The sequence below is a fragment of the Homo sapiens genome, chromosome 3 (assembly GCF_000001405.40).
Source record: "Homo sapiens chromosome 3, GRCh38.p14 Primary Assembly".
Taxonomy (NCBI): domain Eukaryota; kingdom Metazoa; phylum Chordata; class Mammalia; order Primates; family Hominidae; genus Homo; species Homo sapiens.
Window position 1 is genome coordinate 37,213,708 of NC_000003.12, and position 15,942 is coordinate 37,229,649.

Here is a 15,942-nt window from a genome sequence, read left to right on the forward strand (position 1 = left end):
CTTCCCAAGCAGCTGCGATTACAAGCGTGCACCAACACGCTGGCTAATTTTCGTATTTTTAGTAGAGATGAGGTTTCGCCATGTTGCCCAGGCTATTCTTGAACTCCTGACCTTAAGTAATCCATCTGCCTCAGTCTTCCAAAGTGCTGGGATTGCAGATGTAAGCCACCATACCTGTCCTGCCTGGCTGATTTTTAAAATTATTTTTTGTAGAGAGAGGGTCTAGCTATGTTGCCCAAACTGGTCTTAAACTCCTGGGCTCAAGCAATCCTCCTGCCTTGGTCTCCCAAAGTGTTGGGATTACTGGTGTGAGCCACTGCACCCAGCCCTCTAATTCTAAAAAAAAAAAAAAAATTGAAGGCAGCTGCTTATCATATTTCCCTAAATCTTTTTTCCTAAATATTTTAGCTTCTTTATCTCTCCCTGAATGATTCCCAGAGCCTTCATTCATCATCCAGGATCTGAGACAGGGATGCTGGTGCAAGTGATTTACTGGGGAGTGGCCACAGGGGAAACCTGTAGGGAAGCCAGGGAAACAGGATGGGCAAGAGGGCGGAGCTAAGCAAGGATGCAGTTTAGCCAGAGACCAGCCCAGCCTGATGCCACGGGGAGCTCTGGATCCTGAGTGGTGCTACAGAGTGAGTCTCACCTTGAGGCAAGGGGTTCAGTCTTGTATACTGTGACACTCAGTCATTGGCTCTGGGGGTGAGGGGTGTTCGAGGAAACCTTCCTGAGTGAAGTGGTTCCCATTTGGGCAAGGGCAGTTCTCAGGAGGGTTAGCAGCTGACGCTCAACAGCATGTGGGAAATGGGTGACCAGGAAAGAGGATCTGTATACCTTCTGCTCATATCTCATCTCAGTCATTATAGTCAGACCAGGACCCAAATATCCCAGGTGTAGTCTGAAGTGTAGTATTCAAGGAATCCAGGCCGAGCACAGTGGCTCATGCTTATAATCCCAGCACTTTGGGAGGCCGAGGCAGGCAGATCCCTTGAGCCTGGGAAGTCAAGGCTGCAGTGAGCCAAGATCGGGCCACTGCACTCCAGCCTGGGTAACAGAGTGAGACCCTGTCTGGAAAAAAAAACAAAAAAGAGTTCAAGAGATTCATTATATCCCATTCTCCTTAGTCCTGTATTAACAGTCCAGGCTTACATTTGGGTTGTCTGATCGAAACCCCAAGATATTTTTCACATAAAATTGCTCCCAGGCCAAGTGTCTTCCATCAATGCCTATGGCATGGTGATACCAAAAGCAAAAGCAGGTAAAATTGTATTCCTTTAAATTTTCCTCTTGTCAGTTTGGACTCACATTCTAGCTAACTGAGCCCTCATTGAATCTGGATTCTATCATCTAATCCAGGACTCTACGCTCTGTCTTCTGCAGACTTGATCCGTGTGTCTCTTTGGTAACTTTCAACTCCCTTGTCTGTTCATTACCTTTGGGCTGGTCATCTCTGTTTGTTTGTTTGTTTGTTTGTTTGTTTTTTAAGATGGAGCCTCGTTCTCTTGCCTAGGCTGGAGTGCAGTGACACAATCTCAGCTCACTGCAACCTCCGCCTTCCAGGTTCAAGCAATTCTCCTGCCTCAGCCTTCTGAGCAGCTGGGACTACAGGTGCATGCCACCACATCTGGCTAATTTTTGTATTTTTAGTAGGGATGGTGTTTCACCATGTTGGCCAGGCTGGTCTCGAACTCCTGACCTCAGGTGATCCACCTGCCTTGGCCTCCCAAAATGTTAGGATTCCAGGTGTGAGCCACAGCGCCCAGCCAGGGCTGGTCATCTCTTAATATCTGGCTGTCACTGCCCCTGCCTGATGATATCTGTTCTGTTGCTGTCCGCAGAACAGCACTACAGAGGGAACTTTGGTTGAAAATGGCCAGCAGCAAGCCTGAGGCCAGGGCCATAGAAAGAGAGCCATGTTTATTTCAGAAACATGAGTCTGAAATAAGTAGACAGCCCGGAACCTAGGTGGTTAAGTAGTTAATGTTATGTGACCAATATAGAAAACTTGAGACTATCAGCTCAGTAGCCCTGAGCCTTCTCATAACTTGACAGGTTCTGGGAAGGTATCTGAAAATAATTTAAGAAATGTATTCTGGCCAGACGCGGTGGCTCACGCCTGTAATCGCAGCACTTTGGGAGACTGAGGCGGATGGATCACCTGAAGTCAGGAGTTTGAGACCAGCCTGGCCAACATAATGAAACCCTGTCTCTACTAAAAATACAAAAATTAGCCAGGAGTGGTGGCACATGCCTGTAGTCCCAGCTACTTGGGAGGCTGAGGCAGGAGAATCGCTTGAACCCAGGAGGCGGAGGTTACAGTGAGCTGAGATCGTGCCACTGCACTCCAGCCTGGGTGACAGAGCAAAACTCTGTCTCAAAAAAAAAAAGAGAAAAAGAAATGTATTCAACCAATATTCAACTCATTTAAATGAGTTGTAGAGTGGTATATGATTACCTTAAGCTTTATAATTTGCAGAGAATTATACATCATCTAGGATAACATTTTCCACATATCCAACTGCACCATCACTTGCAGCATCAGACCCAGAGGAGGCAGGTAGCATGATGCCTTCTCCCTCCCTCCATCAGCTCCAAGGCTCACACATCGAACTGGCCCTGGGGCAGGGAAGGTCACTCCTCCGCTGACCCTGACTGAGGTGTTGAGACAGTCTTTTCTCACCAGGCCTCCATTAGCAGAAGAAGCCACCATTCTGAGTAGTCCTGCAAGCATGTTTCTCTCTGCTGGCCTTGTCCAGAACTGGCAAGCCCTTTCCCCTAAAGGGCAGTAGAGGAAAAGGGTCACCATGAAAGGCAGATCATACTTAGGAAATGCCAAGGAGCACCTAAAATCCCCTTATGTAACCCCAGAGATATGTATGTCCCACTGACATTTGGGACACACCAACTTGCAGCATCTATTCTGGAGTGGAGAATCATCTAATTATTCCGTCCTCCCATCCCTATCCTCCCAGACCAAAGACCTAAAAATCATGAGAGCAGTAAGACTGCATAGTGGAAACCACATTAGAAACTTATTGCATTTGTCACCTCTGAACCACAAAGTAGATTTTTTTCTTTCCTAGTTAGAGGCATGGAGCTTTACATATGACAAGTGTTCTCTCATTTGTTACCCTGCCCACTAAGTTCAATAAGTCTCTACATGATTGGATTCTCTTTACAAAGCAACTTAAACGAATTGCAGTTATGATATCAAGGAAAGATTCCAGTGCTGAAGAACAGCCTGTTTTGGAATTTACTCCCCCAAATGCAGGCACAAGGCGAATTTCATACTGGGATGGCTTAACTAACCTGTCTTGATTTTAGAGTCACTATATCTGTCTACATTTAAAATAGATAATTATCTTTTAACTAGGCCAAAGCATTCAGGTTACAAAAAGTCACAGTGAAAAGTTAAGTTCTTGTCTCTGCAGGAAGCAGGCAAGAGCCCCACCCTCCTGGGCGCAGCCGCAGCTGCCCAAACTGCAGCTGCAGACCCAGGCATCTCTGCACTCTCTGGGGCCAGGAAGGGCCCCCCTGCCCCTGCAGACTCAGAGGTGTCTGTTCCCACTTCCTGGACTCTCTCTGCTCCTGGCACCCACTCCGATCTTGGAGCAAGGTTGGGGTCAAGCCTGGGTGCTGTCACAGCCCAGCCAGGTTGTGACACAGCAGCCCCCTGCTGCCTTGGCCCCCTCTGGACTTTGGGCACTGATCAGTACGAGAGGGAGGCTGAGGTGGGGGCTGAGGGCAGCTCATTGCTGGTCTGCAGGCGCCCTTCCGCACAAACAGCCTGGCATGCCATGAGCTGCAGCAAGAGGCAGAGAGGCTCCTGGGCGGAAGAGGGCAGGTCTCCAGTGAAGCTCCACCTTCAAGCTGGGGAGAGCCTGAAGCCTGATGGCCAGGCTGTTGGTCCCATGGACCAGAGTGGAAACTTGTGGTGCTTTTCCTGGGCCTGCCCATGGCTGCCCATGGACCAATCAGCATGCACGTCCTCTGCTCTGAAGCCCATAAAAACCCCAGACTCAGGCAGACTTGGGGAGATGACAGGACTACCAGTGGTGGAGAGGAGCTACCGACCCCAGGGACTCCTGTTGGCTGAGAGCTGAAGATACAATGGGACGACTAGCTGCAGAGAGGAGCTACCCACTCCAGGTTCTCCTCTCTGCTGTGAGCTGAATGCTCATCAGGACATCTTGCCTGTGGAGAGGAGCTACCCAATGCCGGTCTCCTCTGAGCTATACTGTCACTCAATAAAGCTCCTTTTTGCCTTGCTCACCCTCCATTTGTCTGCATACCTCATTCTTTCTGGACACAGGACAAGAACTTGGGACCCACCAAATGGCAGGGCTAAAAGAGCTGTAACACAAACAGGGCTGAAACATGCCTCTTGCTTGCCACATTGCAGGTGACAAGAAGGAGAGAAGAGAGAGGGAGAGAAGAGCTGTGGCCCATTGGGGAGCCCAGACCTAGGAGCTCCCTGAGCCAGGGCTGTGACACCCTCTTTGGAACTCTGGGGTTCCTGGCATCTCCAAGCTTCAGGGCACCACTGTGTTCCCTGGTGCCAGCCATGGAAGCTGCTTGCAGTATGCCTGGCCCAGCTGCAGCCTCCCAGGGAGCTGGGACCCATGCCAGCACCTGGAGCTGCCCACTCTGCCATAGCTGGTGTGCCTGATTGTGCGCAATGGCCAGACCCTACAGTTGCTCACACACCCCTTGCTGCTCCATGCCTGGCTTGCCATTGGCAGGCAGTGGGCTCCAGGCCAATAGTGCAATATGAGTACAGCCTGCCAGGCTGAGCAGCCAGAATAAGCCCAGTGGGCCTGAGCAAAACTCAGGCAAAAAAAGCCACTGGCCTCAGAAGTTTCCAGCTGGTGAAGTGACACCCCAAGAATCCCATGATACAGGCCGGGTGTGGTGACTCACGCCTGTAATCCCAGCACATTGGGAGGCCGAGGCAAGTGGATCACGAAGACAGGAGGTCGAGACCAGCCTGACCAATATGGTGAAACCCCATCTCTACTGCAGATACAAAAATTAGCCAGGTGTGGTGGCATGCGCCTGTAATCCCAGCTACTGAGGCAGGAGAATCTCTTGAACCCAGGAGGTTGCAGTGAGCCAAGATCGTGCCATTGCACTCCAGCCTGGGGGACAGAGTGAGACTCCGTCTCAAAAAAAAAAAAAAAAAAGAAAAAAAGAAAAAAAAAGAATCCCATGATACTATAAATACAAAAAATTAGCTGGACATGTTAGCACATGGCTGTAATCCCAGCTACTTGGGAGGCTGAGGCATGAGAATCACTTGAACCCAGGAGGCAGAAGTTGCGGTGAGACGAGATGGCACCCCTGTACTCCAACCTCGGTGACAGAGTGAGACTCTGCCTCAAAACAAAACAAAACAAAACAAAAAAAGCTAGTTCCTCCCTTCTCAAGCTCCCTTTCCCCTGGCAATTAATGTTAGTTAACTGGAGAGTGAGCATTCTATCAGACTCCATTTAGAGTCCAGAAGATAAACAGCTAGGCTTTCCTGTTGGTGACAGCTGCTTTTTATATGCCAAAATCACCTCCAAGATCTTTTATTGCATTAAAAAAAAATGATCCCAGATGCTGCTTTTCACAAACTTCTTAGATGGTTTTTCAATATATTACTCCACAAAGTGGAAGCCATTATCACATTCATTTATTTTTCATGAGGTGCTGTAACAGGAATCCTGGATTCAGCAAGTAAAGCTGAAAGCCATATAAATAATGTATGTTAAGTACAACTGATAAGCACCCTTGTCATCTTGACATCACTGAGAGTTTTAGAGCAAAGCAGCATACGTGTGGCAACATGATCACATTCTTCATCCCTTCTGCCAAGAGACTGGTAATGAAGGGACTGAAGGTGAATTTTTAGTTTTCAGCTTAAGTGAGTGGTTCTCCAGCATTACTGAGTAGAAAAACCATCTGCAGGTGATTCTTTTTTTTTTTTTTTTTTTTTTTTGAGACAGAGTCTCAGGCTAGAGTGCAGGAGCGTGATCTTGGCTCACTGCAACCTCTGCCTCCTGGGTTCAAGCAATTCTCTTTCATCAGCCTCCTGAGTAGCTGGATTACAGGCGTGCACCCACACCCAGCTAATTTTTTTATACTTTTAGTAGAGATAGGGTTTCGCCATATTGGCCAGGCTGGTCTCGAACCCCTGACCTCAAGGGATCTGCTCACCTTGGCCTCCCAAGTGCTAGGATTACAGGCATGAGCCAATGTGCCTGGCCAGGTGATTCTAACTCAAAAGGTCTCTCTCTTTCCTTCCCTTCCTTCCTTCCGAAAAATCTCTTTTATTTTTATTTTTATTTTTATTTTTGGCTTCCCAGAAAGTATTTCACCAACAAGTATCTTTTAAGCTCCTGACATGTATCAGACAATGCTTTGGGCCTCAGAATCTGCATGTTAACAAGCCCCCTAAATGATCTTCGGGTAGGTGGTTCAAAGAACACATTGTACAAGCTGGCCTAAAGAAACGTGTAATTGATACTGTGGTTATCTTTTAATTTTTTTTTAATTTTCTTTTTTTATAAAATAGAGGTGAGGTTTTACCATACTGCCCAGGATGGTCTTGAACTCCTGGGTTCAAGCAATCCGCCCGCCTTAGCCTCCCAAAGTGCTGGGATTACAGGCATGAGAAACTGTGACCAGCCGATACTGTGGTTACCAAACACTCATTTTATCCAGCTTCCCAACCCCTACAACAGATGGTATGTTGTGTTTAGGTACCCACCCTTCTCTGCTCAACCATGTGCTTCAGGAGAGGCTGGCCACAGACCCAGGGAGTAGATCCTGATTGTTCAAAGGCAATCATGGTCTTCCCATTTCCCTTTGCAGGGACTGGTTTAGACAAGGCCATGCGATGCAGCTCTGACCAGTAAATGGAGGATAAATCTGCAGGGGGTTTCTGGGAAAGATTTTCTTGCTCCTAATAAAAGACATACAAGAAAAGATGGTCTTTTCTTATTCTGAGTATGGTTGTATCCAGATATGAAGGCTGGCACTAGGGCAGTCACCTTGCAACAAGAAGGGGAAAGCTAGCCCCCAAATGAAGCCTGCCCAGCAGAATGACAGAGCAGCAAGATGGAAAGAACTTGGTTCTTGAAAGTGTCATTGAGCCATGGAATTACCCAACCCTGGAGCTGTCCTATTCTTGGACTCGTAGGTGCAGAATAACACATTTCTTTGTTTAAGACAGTTGGGCTTGGGACTCTTTTATACCTTCTGCTAAAAACATTCTGACTGGCATTGAATTTTTATGTGCACTTTTGATTCAAGGTTTAAGCTTTCTGTAATTCACTGTTAAATAATTGTAACACAGTGTCTCAGGTGGGTTCCCTAGAAGTTGAGTCTGAGACAGGGATTTGAGTGCACATGATTTATTGAGGTCATGCTCTCAGGAGATTAGTAAAGCAGGAGGTGAAATAGAGAAGGAAAAAGGAAAGAGATGAGCAAGGATGTGGTTGCATGCAAAGTCTAGCTTTGGACTGATCCATGGGCGGTTCTGGAGCTGTATTGTTCAGTATGGCAGCCATTAGCCACATGTAGCTATTTAAATTTAAATTAATTAAAAGGAGTTAAAATTTAAAGCTCAGTTCTTTAGTCACATGCCAAGTGCTCAGTGACTACAGAAGCTCATAGGTAAAGTCGTTAGCCACATCAGTCATAGCAGCCCCAAACTCACCATCAGGTAAAGGTATCTGGAGAGAGTACCAATTGTGACTACTACCCATGGTATGTAAGTAGACATGAGCTGCATGCAATGCTATTGGCAGAGAGGTTAGATAACACTCCTTTTTTGCTAATCCACGTTGGGAATTTAGAATCTCCTGAGATTGCTCCTAAGGAGCACCTTTATTTCTTAACAATCCCTAGAGTTCAGACACATACCAACTATATAAACATATCTGATAGGTGAGTCACTCCAGTGATGCTCAGATTGCAGACAATGGAGGCTCAGAGAGCAGGCTCAAAGGGAGAAAGGGACTTGGTGCAATGAGTAAGAACTAGAAAAAAGTGCCTGAATGTCAAAGAGAACTGGTGGGGACAGAGGTCTGACTCTGGACAGAACTTGAAGCTGCCACTGGAACTGTCTCATCCAGCCACTGTGTCATACAAAAAAGAAAGAAGAGGGTTTATATTTTCACTTTTTCACTACGTTCATCTCACTTTTTTTTTTTTTTTTTTTTGAGTCAAGGTCTTACTCTGTCACCCAGGCTGGAGTGCAGTGGTGCAGTCTCAGAATCCAGATCGCTGCAACCTCCCTATCCCAGGCTCAAGCGATTCTCCTGCCTCAGCCTCCCGAGTAGCTAGAACCACAGACACGTACCACCACACCAGGCTAATTTTTTGTATTTTTTGTAGAGGGGGGGCGTCTCACCATGTTGCCCAGGGTGGTCTCAAACTCCTGGACTCAAGTGGTCTACTTGCCTTGGCCTCCCAAAGTGCTGGGATTACAGGCGTGAACCACTGTGCCCGGGGTGGCCTGTAATCTGGCACGGTTTGAAATCCAACCACCTTGCCCATCTCACTTCTATAATATGTTTTCCTATGTTTTATGTCTGTCTACTCTTTGGTTATCTCTTCATATGACACCAACTTTGTAACGCCATCTTCTAGAAAGAGAATAGAAGGTAATTCAGTCTTTCCTCTTACATGGTTGACCACAATTTGTTTTTGGTTATTGCTACTTTATTTTAATTTTATTTATTTTTTTATGACTTCAAAAAATTTTTGTGGGTACATCGTAGCTGTATATATTTATGGGGTACATGAGATGTTTTGATACAGGCGTGCGATGTGAAATAAGCACATCATGGGGAATGGGGTATCCATTCCCTCAAGCATTTATCCTTTGAGTTACAAACAATCCAATTATAGTCTTAAAATATACAATTAAGTTATTATTGACTATAGTCACCTTATTGTGCTATCAATAGTATTTATTTTTATTTTTTTGAGACAGGGTCTTGCTCTGTTGCCCAGGCTAGAGTGCAGTGATGCAATCATAGGTGCAACCTTGACCTCCTGGGCTCAAGTGATCCTCTTGCCTCAGCCTTCCAAGTAGCTGGGACTACAAGTGTGCACCATCACGGCCATCTAATTTTTTTATTTTTTGTAGAGATGGGGTCTCGCTTTGTTGCCCAGGCTGGTCTCAAACTCCTGGGTTCAACTGATCCTCCCACTTTGCCTTCCAAAGTGCTGGGATTACAGGCTTGAGCCACTGCGCCCTGTCTATTATTGCTACTTTAGAAATATTTCCTTTTGCTTCACAACTTACTATGGGAAATGCCTAATCTTTACCTTCCTTCTCAGTCCTTTGATCAGGACTTCCCTCAGTCCCTTCTTGTCTGGAGGGAAGTCCTCAGATTTCATAGCCATGGCCTCCCAGTAGCTGCTACCAGAGCAACAGCTGCTGGTTCAGCTCAGGTCAGGTCCTCACTGCCCTGTTCCATCACTGGTTTGGTCCTGGGGGGTAAGCAGGAGGGGGTTGGGGGTGCAGGAGAAGTAACTATGAGCCTGAGTCATAGTCACCCTTGAGCAGGAAGCAGAGGAGCTTCTCATTCAGATTCTTCTCCTTGAGGTCAAAGATAGAATCCAGAGGCTAAACCACATAACCCCTCAGGGCACACCAGCCCAACTTCCAACTGCTGACACCTGCAACTTTGGCTAAGGGCTGTTCTCTGGTCACTGAAGCCCACTTTGCTCACCTGTGTGGCAAGCTGCAGATGTCCAGGAATTACTGTTCCTCCCCACAGCTCCCAGTAGACTTCAGCTAATGATTAATGGAAGTTAGTGTATAAATACCAAAGCTCCTCATTCCTTGGGTGGGATACCTGAGCACGAGTCTACACTGGCTCCCAGAGTTTCCTATCATGATTGAGCTCCATTTGTCCTCATGGTGATTGGCTGGGTAATGCCCATGCCTCCTTTATTTGGCTGCCTTTCCTATACTTTCTCAATTCCCCTCCTTCTTTGTCTCTCAAATGAACTCCTTGCACTCTCAGCATCTGCTTCTGGGGTTACCCAACTAAGGCATTAGATGACCACAAGGGCAGTTGTCACTGGGGGCTGGGTGATTTGGACATAGTGCTGGCAGCCTGCTGCTTAGCCTAAGCCCGAGGACCATCATCAGGACACAGATACTGGGACAGCACACTCTGCCTCCACATCTTCTGCATGGTTAGTTTAAGTCTGGAATGAAGATTACTAGCAAATATATGGACCATACAACAAGCTGCTTACTCCCACATCATTCTTACTTATTTATTTATTTTTTAATTTTTATTTTTTTGAGACAGGGTCTCACTTTGTTACCCAGGCTGGCGTGCAGTGGTATGATCTCGGCTCACTGCAGCCTTGATCTCCCAGGTTCAAGTGATCCTCCTGCCTCAGCCCCCAAGTAGCTGGGATTACAGGTGCATGCCACCATGCCCGGCTGATTTTTGTATTTTTTGTAGAGATGGGGTTTTGTCATGTTGCCCAGGCTGGTCTTGAATTACTGAGCCCAAGTGATTCTCCCACCTCAGCCTCCCAAAGTGCTGGGATTACAGGTGTGAACCACTGCGCCTGGCCTTCCATATAATTCTTGTCAGTTCTAAAACTGTTACTTTGTTCGCCATCTGTTTGACTTCTGTGTTTCTCTCTCAATTGGTTCAGAACTTGAAAGTAGAAGGTCATTAATTGAGCCTCCTGAAACTGTTAAAAATAAGCATGGTTAGGCTGGGTATGGTGGCTCACGACCGTAATCCCAGCACTTTGGGAGGCTGAAGTGGGCGAATCATGAGGTCAGGAGTTCGGGACCAGCTTGACCAATATGGTGAAACCCTGTCTCTACTAAAAATACAAAATTTATCTGGGTGTGGTGACGCATGCCTATAATCCCAGCTACTAGGGAGGCTGAGGCAGGAGAATTGCTTGAACCCAGGAGGCGGAGGTTGCAGTGAGCCGAGAACATGCCATTGCACTCTAGCCTGGGCGACAGAGCAAGACTCCGTATCAAAAAAAAAATAATAAATAAATAAGCATGGTAGAAAGATAGGACTTCAGGATGAGCACAATCCAGGGAGATTGGAAAGAGGGTGGCTAGATGCTGGCCCCTGGCCTGAGGGAAGGAGCAAATCTATAGTCCATAAAGGAGGAGGCAGAATGAGGTACTAGGCAGAGTATGAGAATAAGAATTTAGAAATAAAGAGAAGGCAGAAGCCAAGTAATTGGAACACATGGGGATGCTGGATGTGATCCTGTTGAGACTAGAGCTCAATTATCAGAACTGGGTCACTGCAACTAGAATAGAGTAATCCATGCTGATGCATAGCTTGTGAGGTAAGAGCTAGTCAAATGCTTTCTTAACAGGCTATGATTGGGCCTGGGGGTGGGAGGCTGGGGCGCAGCTGAGAACATGGTAAACCCAGGTGTGGACAGACACTGAGGAAACAGGCTGGCAGGCTGGTACTAACTGGTTCTGCAATCAAACGTTTAAAAGACTGGCACAATTCTATCCTTCTTATTTGTTTTATTTTTGAAACGGAGTCTCGCTCTGTCGCCCAGTCTGGAGTGCAGTGGCACGATCTTGGCTCACTGCAACCTCTGCCTCCTGGGTTCAAGCAATTCTCCCTGCCTCAGCCTCCCAAGTAGCTGGGATTATAGGCACCCGCCACCATGCCCAGCTAATTTTTGTATTTTTTAGTAGAGATGGGGTTTCACCATGTTGACCAGGCTGGTCTTGAACTCCTGACCTCAGGTGATCCCCCTGCCTCAGTCTCCCAAAGTGCTGGGTTTACAGGCATGAGCCAACGTGCCCAGCCTTATTCTTCTATTTGTAAAGGGGCAACACTGTGCTTTATAAAGCCACAAAGGAAAATGCCATTCTTTAGTCCTTTTTCTCAGATTTTGCAGACGTTAGACTTAAAAGCCTCCCTGCCTAACCTGTCTCTTTCATCTTCTTTGTTGAGGTTCACGCATCATGAGGAAATACCAGCTGCTCTAAATGACTTCAAATTTGCTTGATCCAAACAAGTTGCATGTCAGGTATAGAAGTTGGGACTTTGTCAGTTACAAACGACAGAAACCTGAGTAAAACCAGCTTACGCAGAAAGAGATTTTTTTGATTCAGATAACTGGGAAGGATCCTGGGCTAGTTTAGAGGGTGGAAGGAAGAGCCCAAGAATCTAGGGTCTCAGAGACTTGAACTCTGGACTCATGGTCAACCAGACTCTCTCTCCATTCAGTTCCCAAACCAGTTTGTCACAACTTTTTTTTGGTATATTCACCTTTTCTTCTCTTACTGCAGACAGAACTTTACACCACCTTTAATTTCCCTAGCAGCCTGAGTCACATGCTATCATGCAGCTCGGGCAGCTCAGGTCAGGTCCTCACTGCCCCGTTCCATCACTGGTTTGGTCCTGGGGGGTGATGGGAGGGGAATGCCAGCAGGAAGAGATTTGTGTATCGCATCCCTGGAGGACACTGATTAGTGCTGCCTGCATCTTATACCCATTTCATGGCCCAGCATGTAATTGACAATCAATAAATACTCCTGAATGCATGAGTAAGGCTACCATAAATAATGTGACAGAGGTAGCTCTCATTGTTGTAAATTAATAAATTTTAGTTTATGTCTCTATCTGGAGATGCTGGTCCATGTGCACTTACTTCTGAGAGATGTCTGCTGTCAGTGTTTTGAGGAAACAGCTTCTGAGTCTGCAAGCTTTGGTAAATTCAGAAGGTGATTAAATGCCACCCTTGGAGGTTTCCCAGATAACAGTCTGTTCTAGATGACCACCTAGACTATAAATGTTGATGGAAATTGCTTTTCCTTACTTGAATCTCTACACTGAGAACTTATTAATGAAATGTATATGTTTTTCAAACTTATGTTTACAACATCACAATGAAGTAATTATAGTCAGATAAGATCTTATTGTCTCCATTTAATAGCTAGGAAAGTCCAGGCATATATTGGGTAAGTCAGTGTTTTTCAAGGAATGTCTTCCAGAAAACAAGACCCCTAGGTGATTCATGAAAAGGGGTTCTGTGGTCAGTTATGATTGGGAAGACTCTGAATGATTTCCAATATATGTTAGTATACTAAAGATTCTGAAGGAAGCAGTTAAGAACTCTATAAGGGGCAGGTGCAGTGGCTCATGCCTATAATCCCAGCACTTTTGGAGGCCCAGGTGGGAGGATCACCTGAGCCCAGAAGTTCAAGGCCAGCCTGGGCTTGTAGAGACCTGGTCTCTACAAAAATTAAAATGTTGGTTGGGCATGGTGGTGCGCACCTATAGTCCCAGCTACTCAGGAGGCTGAAGTGGGAGGATCACCTGAGCCCAAAATTCAAGGCTGCAGTGAGCCAAGATCACGTTACTGCACTCCAGCCTGGGCAACAGAGCGAGATGCTGTCTTTTTTTTTTTTTTTTTTTTTTTTTTTTTGAGATGGAGTCTCGCTCTGTCACCCAGGCTGGAGTGCAGTGCCGCAATCTTGGCTCACTGCAAGCTCCACTTCCCGGGTTCATGCCATTCTCCTCCCTCAGCCTCCCGAGTAGCTGGGACTACAGGTGCCCACCACCACGCCCGGCTAATTTTTTGTATTTTTAGTAGAGATGGGGTTTCACCAATGTTAGCCAGGATGGTCTCGATCTCCTGACCTCGTGATCCACCCACCTTGGCCTCCCAAAGTGCTGGGATTACAGGCGTGAGCCACTGCGCCCAGCCAAGATGCTGTCTTTTAAAAAAAAAGCATCAGCAGAAGAAAGCTATATGAAGTAAAATCTGTTTAACGTTGATCAAAAGGATTTAGCAAAATTATTGGACCTTAAACTTCCTGTTTCTGCATATATCTTCTCTTATTCCCTCCTGTTTTCATAGAGGATCTGTCTCTTTCCACCTAAGGCCAATCTCTCCATCTATACCTAGGACTCTATTTTCCTTTCCCTCCATTCCTAGGAATCTTCTATTTCTCAAGTATTCTTTCTCCCTCCTCATCCTAGGGGTGGTAGCAGCTCCCTGCTCTTGCTAATCATCCGTTTGATTTTCCAATACCAATTTAATTAGTTCCCCTTACCTGGTATGAGTTATGTTTTCCTGATTTGACCCTAACTGATGATGATACATGGAAATATCAGAAAATAGGGAACAGGGGGAAGGAGAGCATTTGAGAAACAGGCAAATTCTACTTGACTTGGTGGATTACCTTGAAGTCAAGGTAGCTCGGGGAAAGTAGAGGAGACCGGGAGGCAATGGCAGTAGATTGATGTCTATGAGCTCTTACCTAGGCATCATTCAGTTTCCTGTGAAAGCAGATGTCCTCCACACTAGGGGTTGTGGGGAAATTGTATGAGTAGAGAAAAGGGCAGGTTACAGAGGACAGCCCATCTCCCTGTATATGAGCGATTATCTCTGGTTGTCAGTAAGTCACAAATAAGTCAGTGCTGTCCTCTAGTTGCCTGGGGTGGGGGTCAGAGGACTTGCCCCACAGCAGAAACCTCTTCATCTGGGAACTAGTTGGGCACAGCTTCTTTTGGCTGCATCTGTAACCTGTCCTGGGTTGGCCCAGCTGCTGAGTTGTCACAGTTTGTGGTTGGCACCTATTGTTAAATGTCAATATTTTCACAGTCATCCCACACTGCTATGCTATGGCATTTGTCCCTTGGCCTTGGGAGGACAGGCAATTCTTTCATACATAATAGGAAAAGATAGAAGAGAGACTGTCTTTTTCTCTCAAAGACTGTTCAAGCCAGTAGCAGGTCATTGTACTCTGAATAATGCCCTTTCAAATGGAGAAAGAATATAATTCTGAAATCACACACTTCTGGGACCATTAGAGACACCAGTTTACTGAGCGTGACTTTTGCAAGATGATTCTGTAATGAAATGTAATCCTCAAAGTCTGAAATAAGTAAAATGTATTTATTCAGAAAATGCATGAGTGTTTGTGTATATGTATTAAAATCTATTACCCTTAAAGTGCCCCATGATCAAGACAGGAGATGAGAATTATATTGTGCTTGAAGTATAGACAATACTGAGTCTGAGAGTGTTGGGCAGACGTGAAGTTCCACATGTAACAATGTCTATCAATCGAGGTGTCTCTGGAGTTTTCTGGAGGTTGAATCTGGAATGAACAGTTCTTGGGTGTGCCCTGTTGAGGAGCTAACTGGTGCAGGAGCTATCTGGGGTGAAATCACTACCCATGAGAAGAAAAGCCTCTCCTCCACCTTTCCCAGGCTGAAAAGACAGTTTGGCTTGGGGATGGCATGGGTGGAGCTTTCAGCTGAGACTAAAGGCCCAACTCTCCTCCCAGTGTGAGGAGAGGTTGACCCTACACTCTTCCTGCTGCCACAGGAACTGTGGAGGCAGCTGTTGAGGAATTACCCCTGATTGAAGGAGGGCATAAATGCTGATTCTCCTCTGAAGGTCTGTAAAGTGCAGCCATAAACATCCCAGTCTCTCAAATGTGAAACACTTGTCCTTTCGCACCTGGGTTGAAAAGTCAAGCCTAATTCTTTTAATAATGCCCCAATGCCTTGAACTTCATCCATTCCTATAAGAGCTTAGCACCCCAGCAGAAGGAAACCTAGCACCCCAGAAACTCTGCTTAAGACAAATAATCCTCAGCTGGATTTTGCGGCTAATGCCTGTAATCCCAGCACTTTGGGAGGCAGAGGTGGGAGGATCACTTGAGGCCAGGGATTCAAGACCAGCCTGGGCAATATAATGAGATCCCATCTCAAGAAAGAAAGAAAAGAAGAAAGAAAGAAAGTAAGAGAGAGAGATAAAGAGGGAAGAGAAAGAAAGAAGGAAAGAAAGAAAGAAAAAAAAGAAAGAGTATTGTAAAAATCCTTAGTGTTGAAAATAAAGTTCCATGGTTAGGAAAATGTCAGTAAAAGGACTTTATTTTTTAAGATTTAATTTTCTTAAATT

General features: G+C 46.0%; 1 protein-coding gene across 1 annotated transcript; it reads left to right on the forward strand.

The window, feature by feature from the left end:
- The first annotated feature begins 2,807 nt into the window (after positions 1–2,807).
- Positions 2,808–4,282, forward strand: LOC124909483 (uncharacterized). The gene is made up of 2 exons (XM_047449431.1): positions 2,808–2,877; positions 3,415–4,282. Exons 1-2 carry the CDS (start codon positions 2,808–2,810, stop codon positions 4,104–4,106), a joined length of 762 nt encoding a protein of 253 aa, XP_047305387.1. The 3' UTR covers positions 4,107–4,282.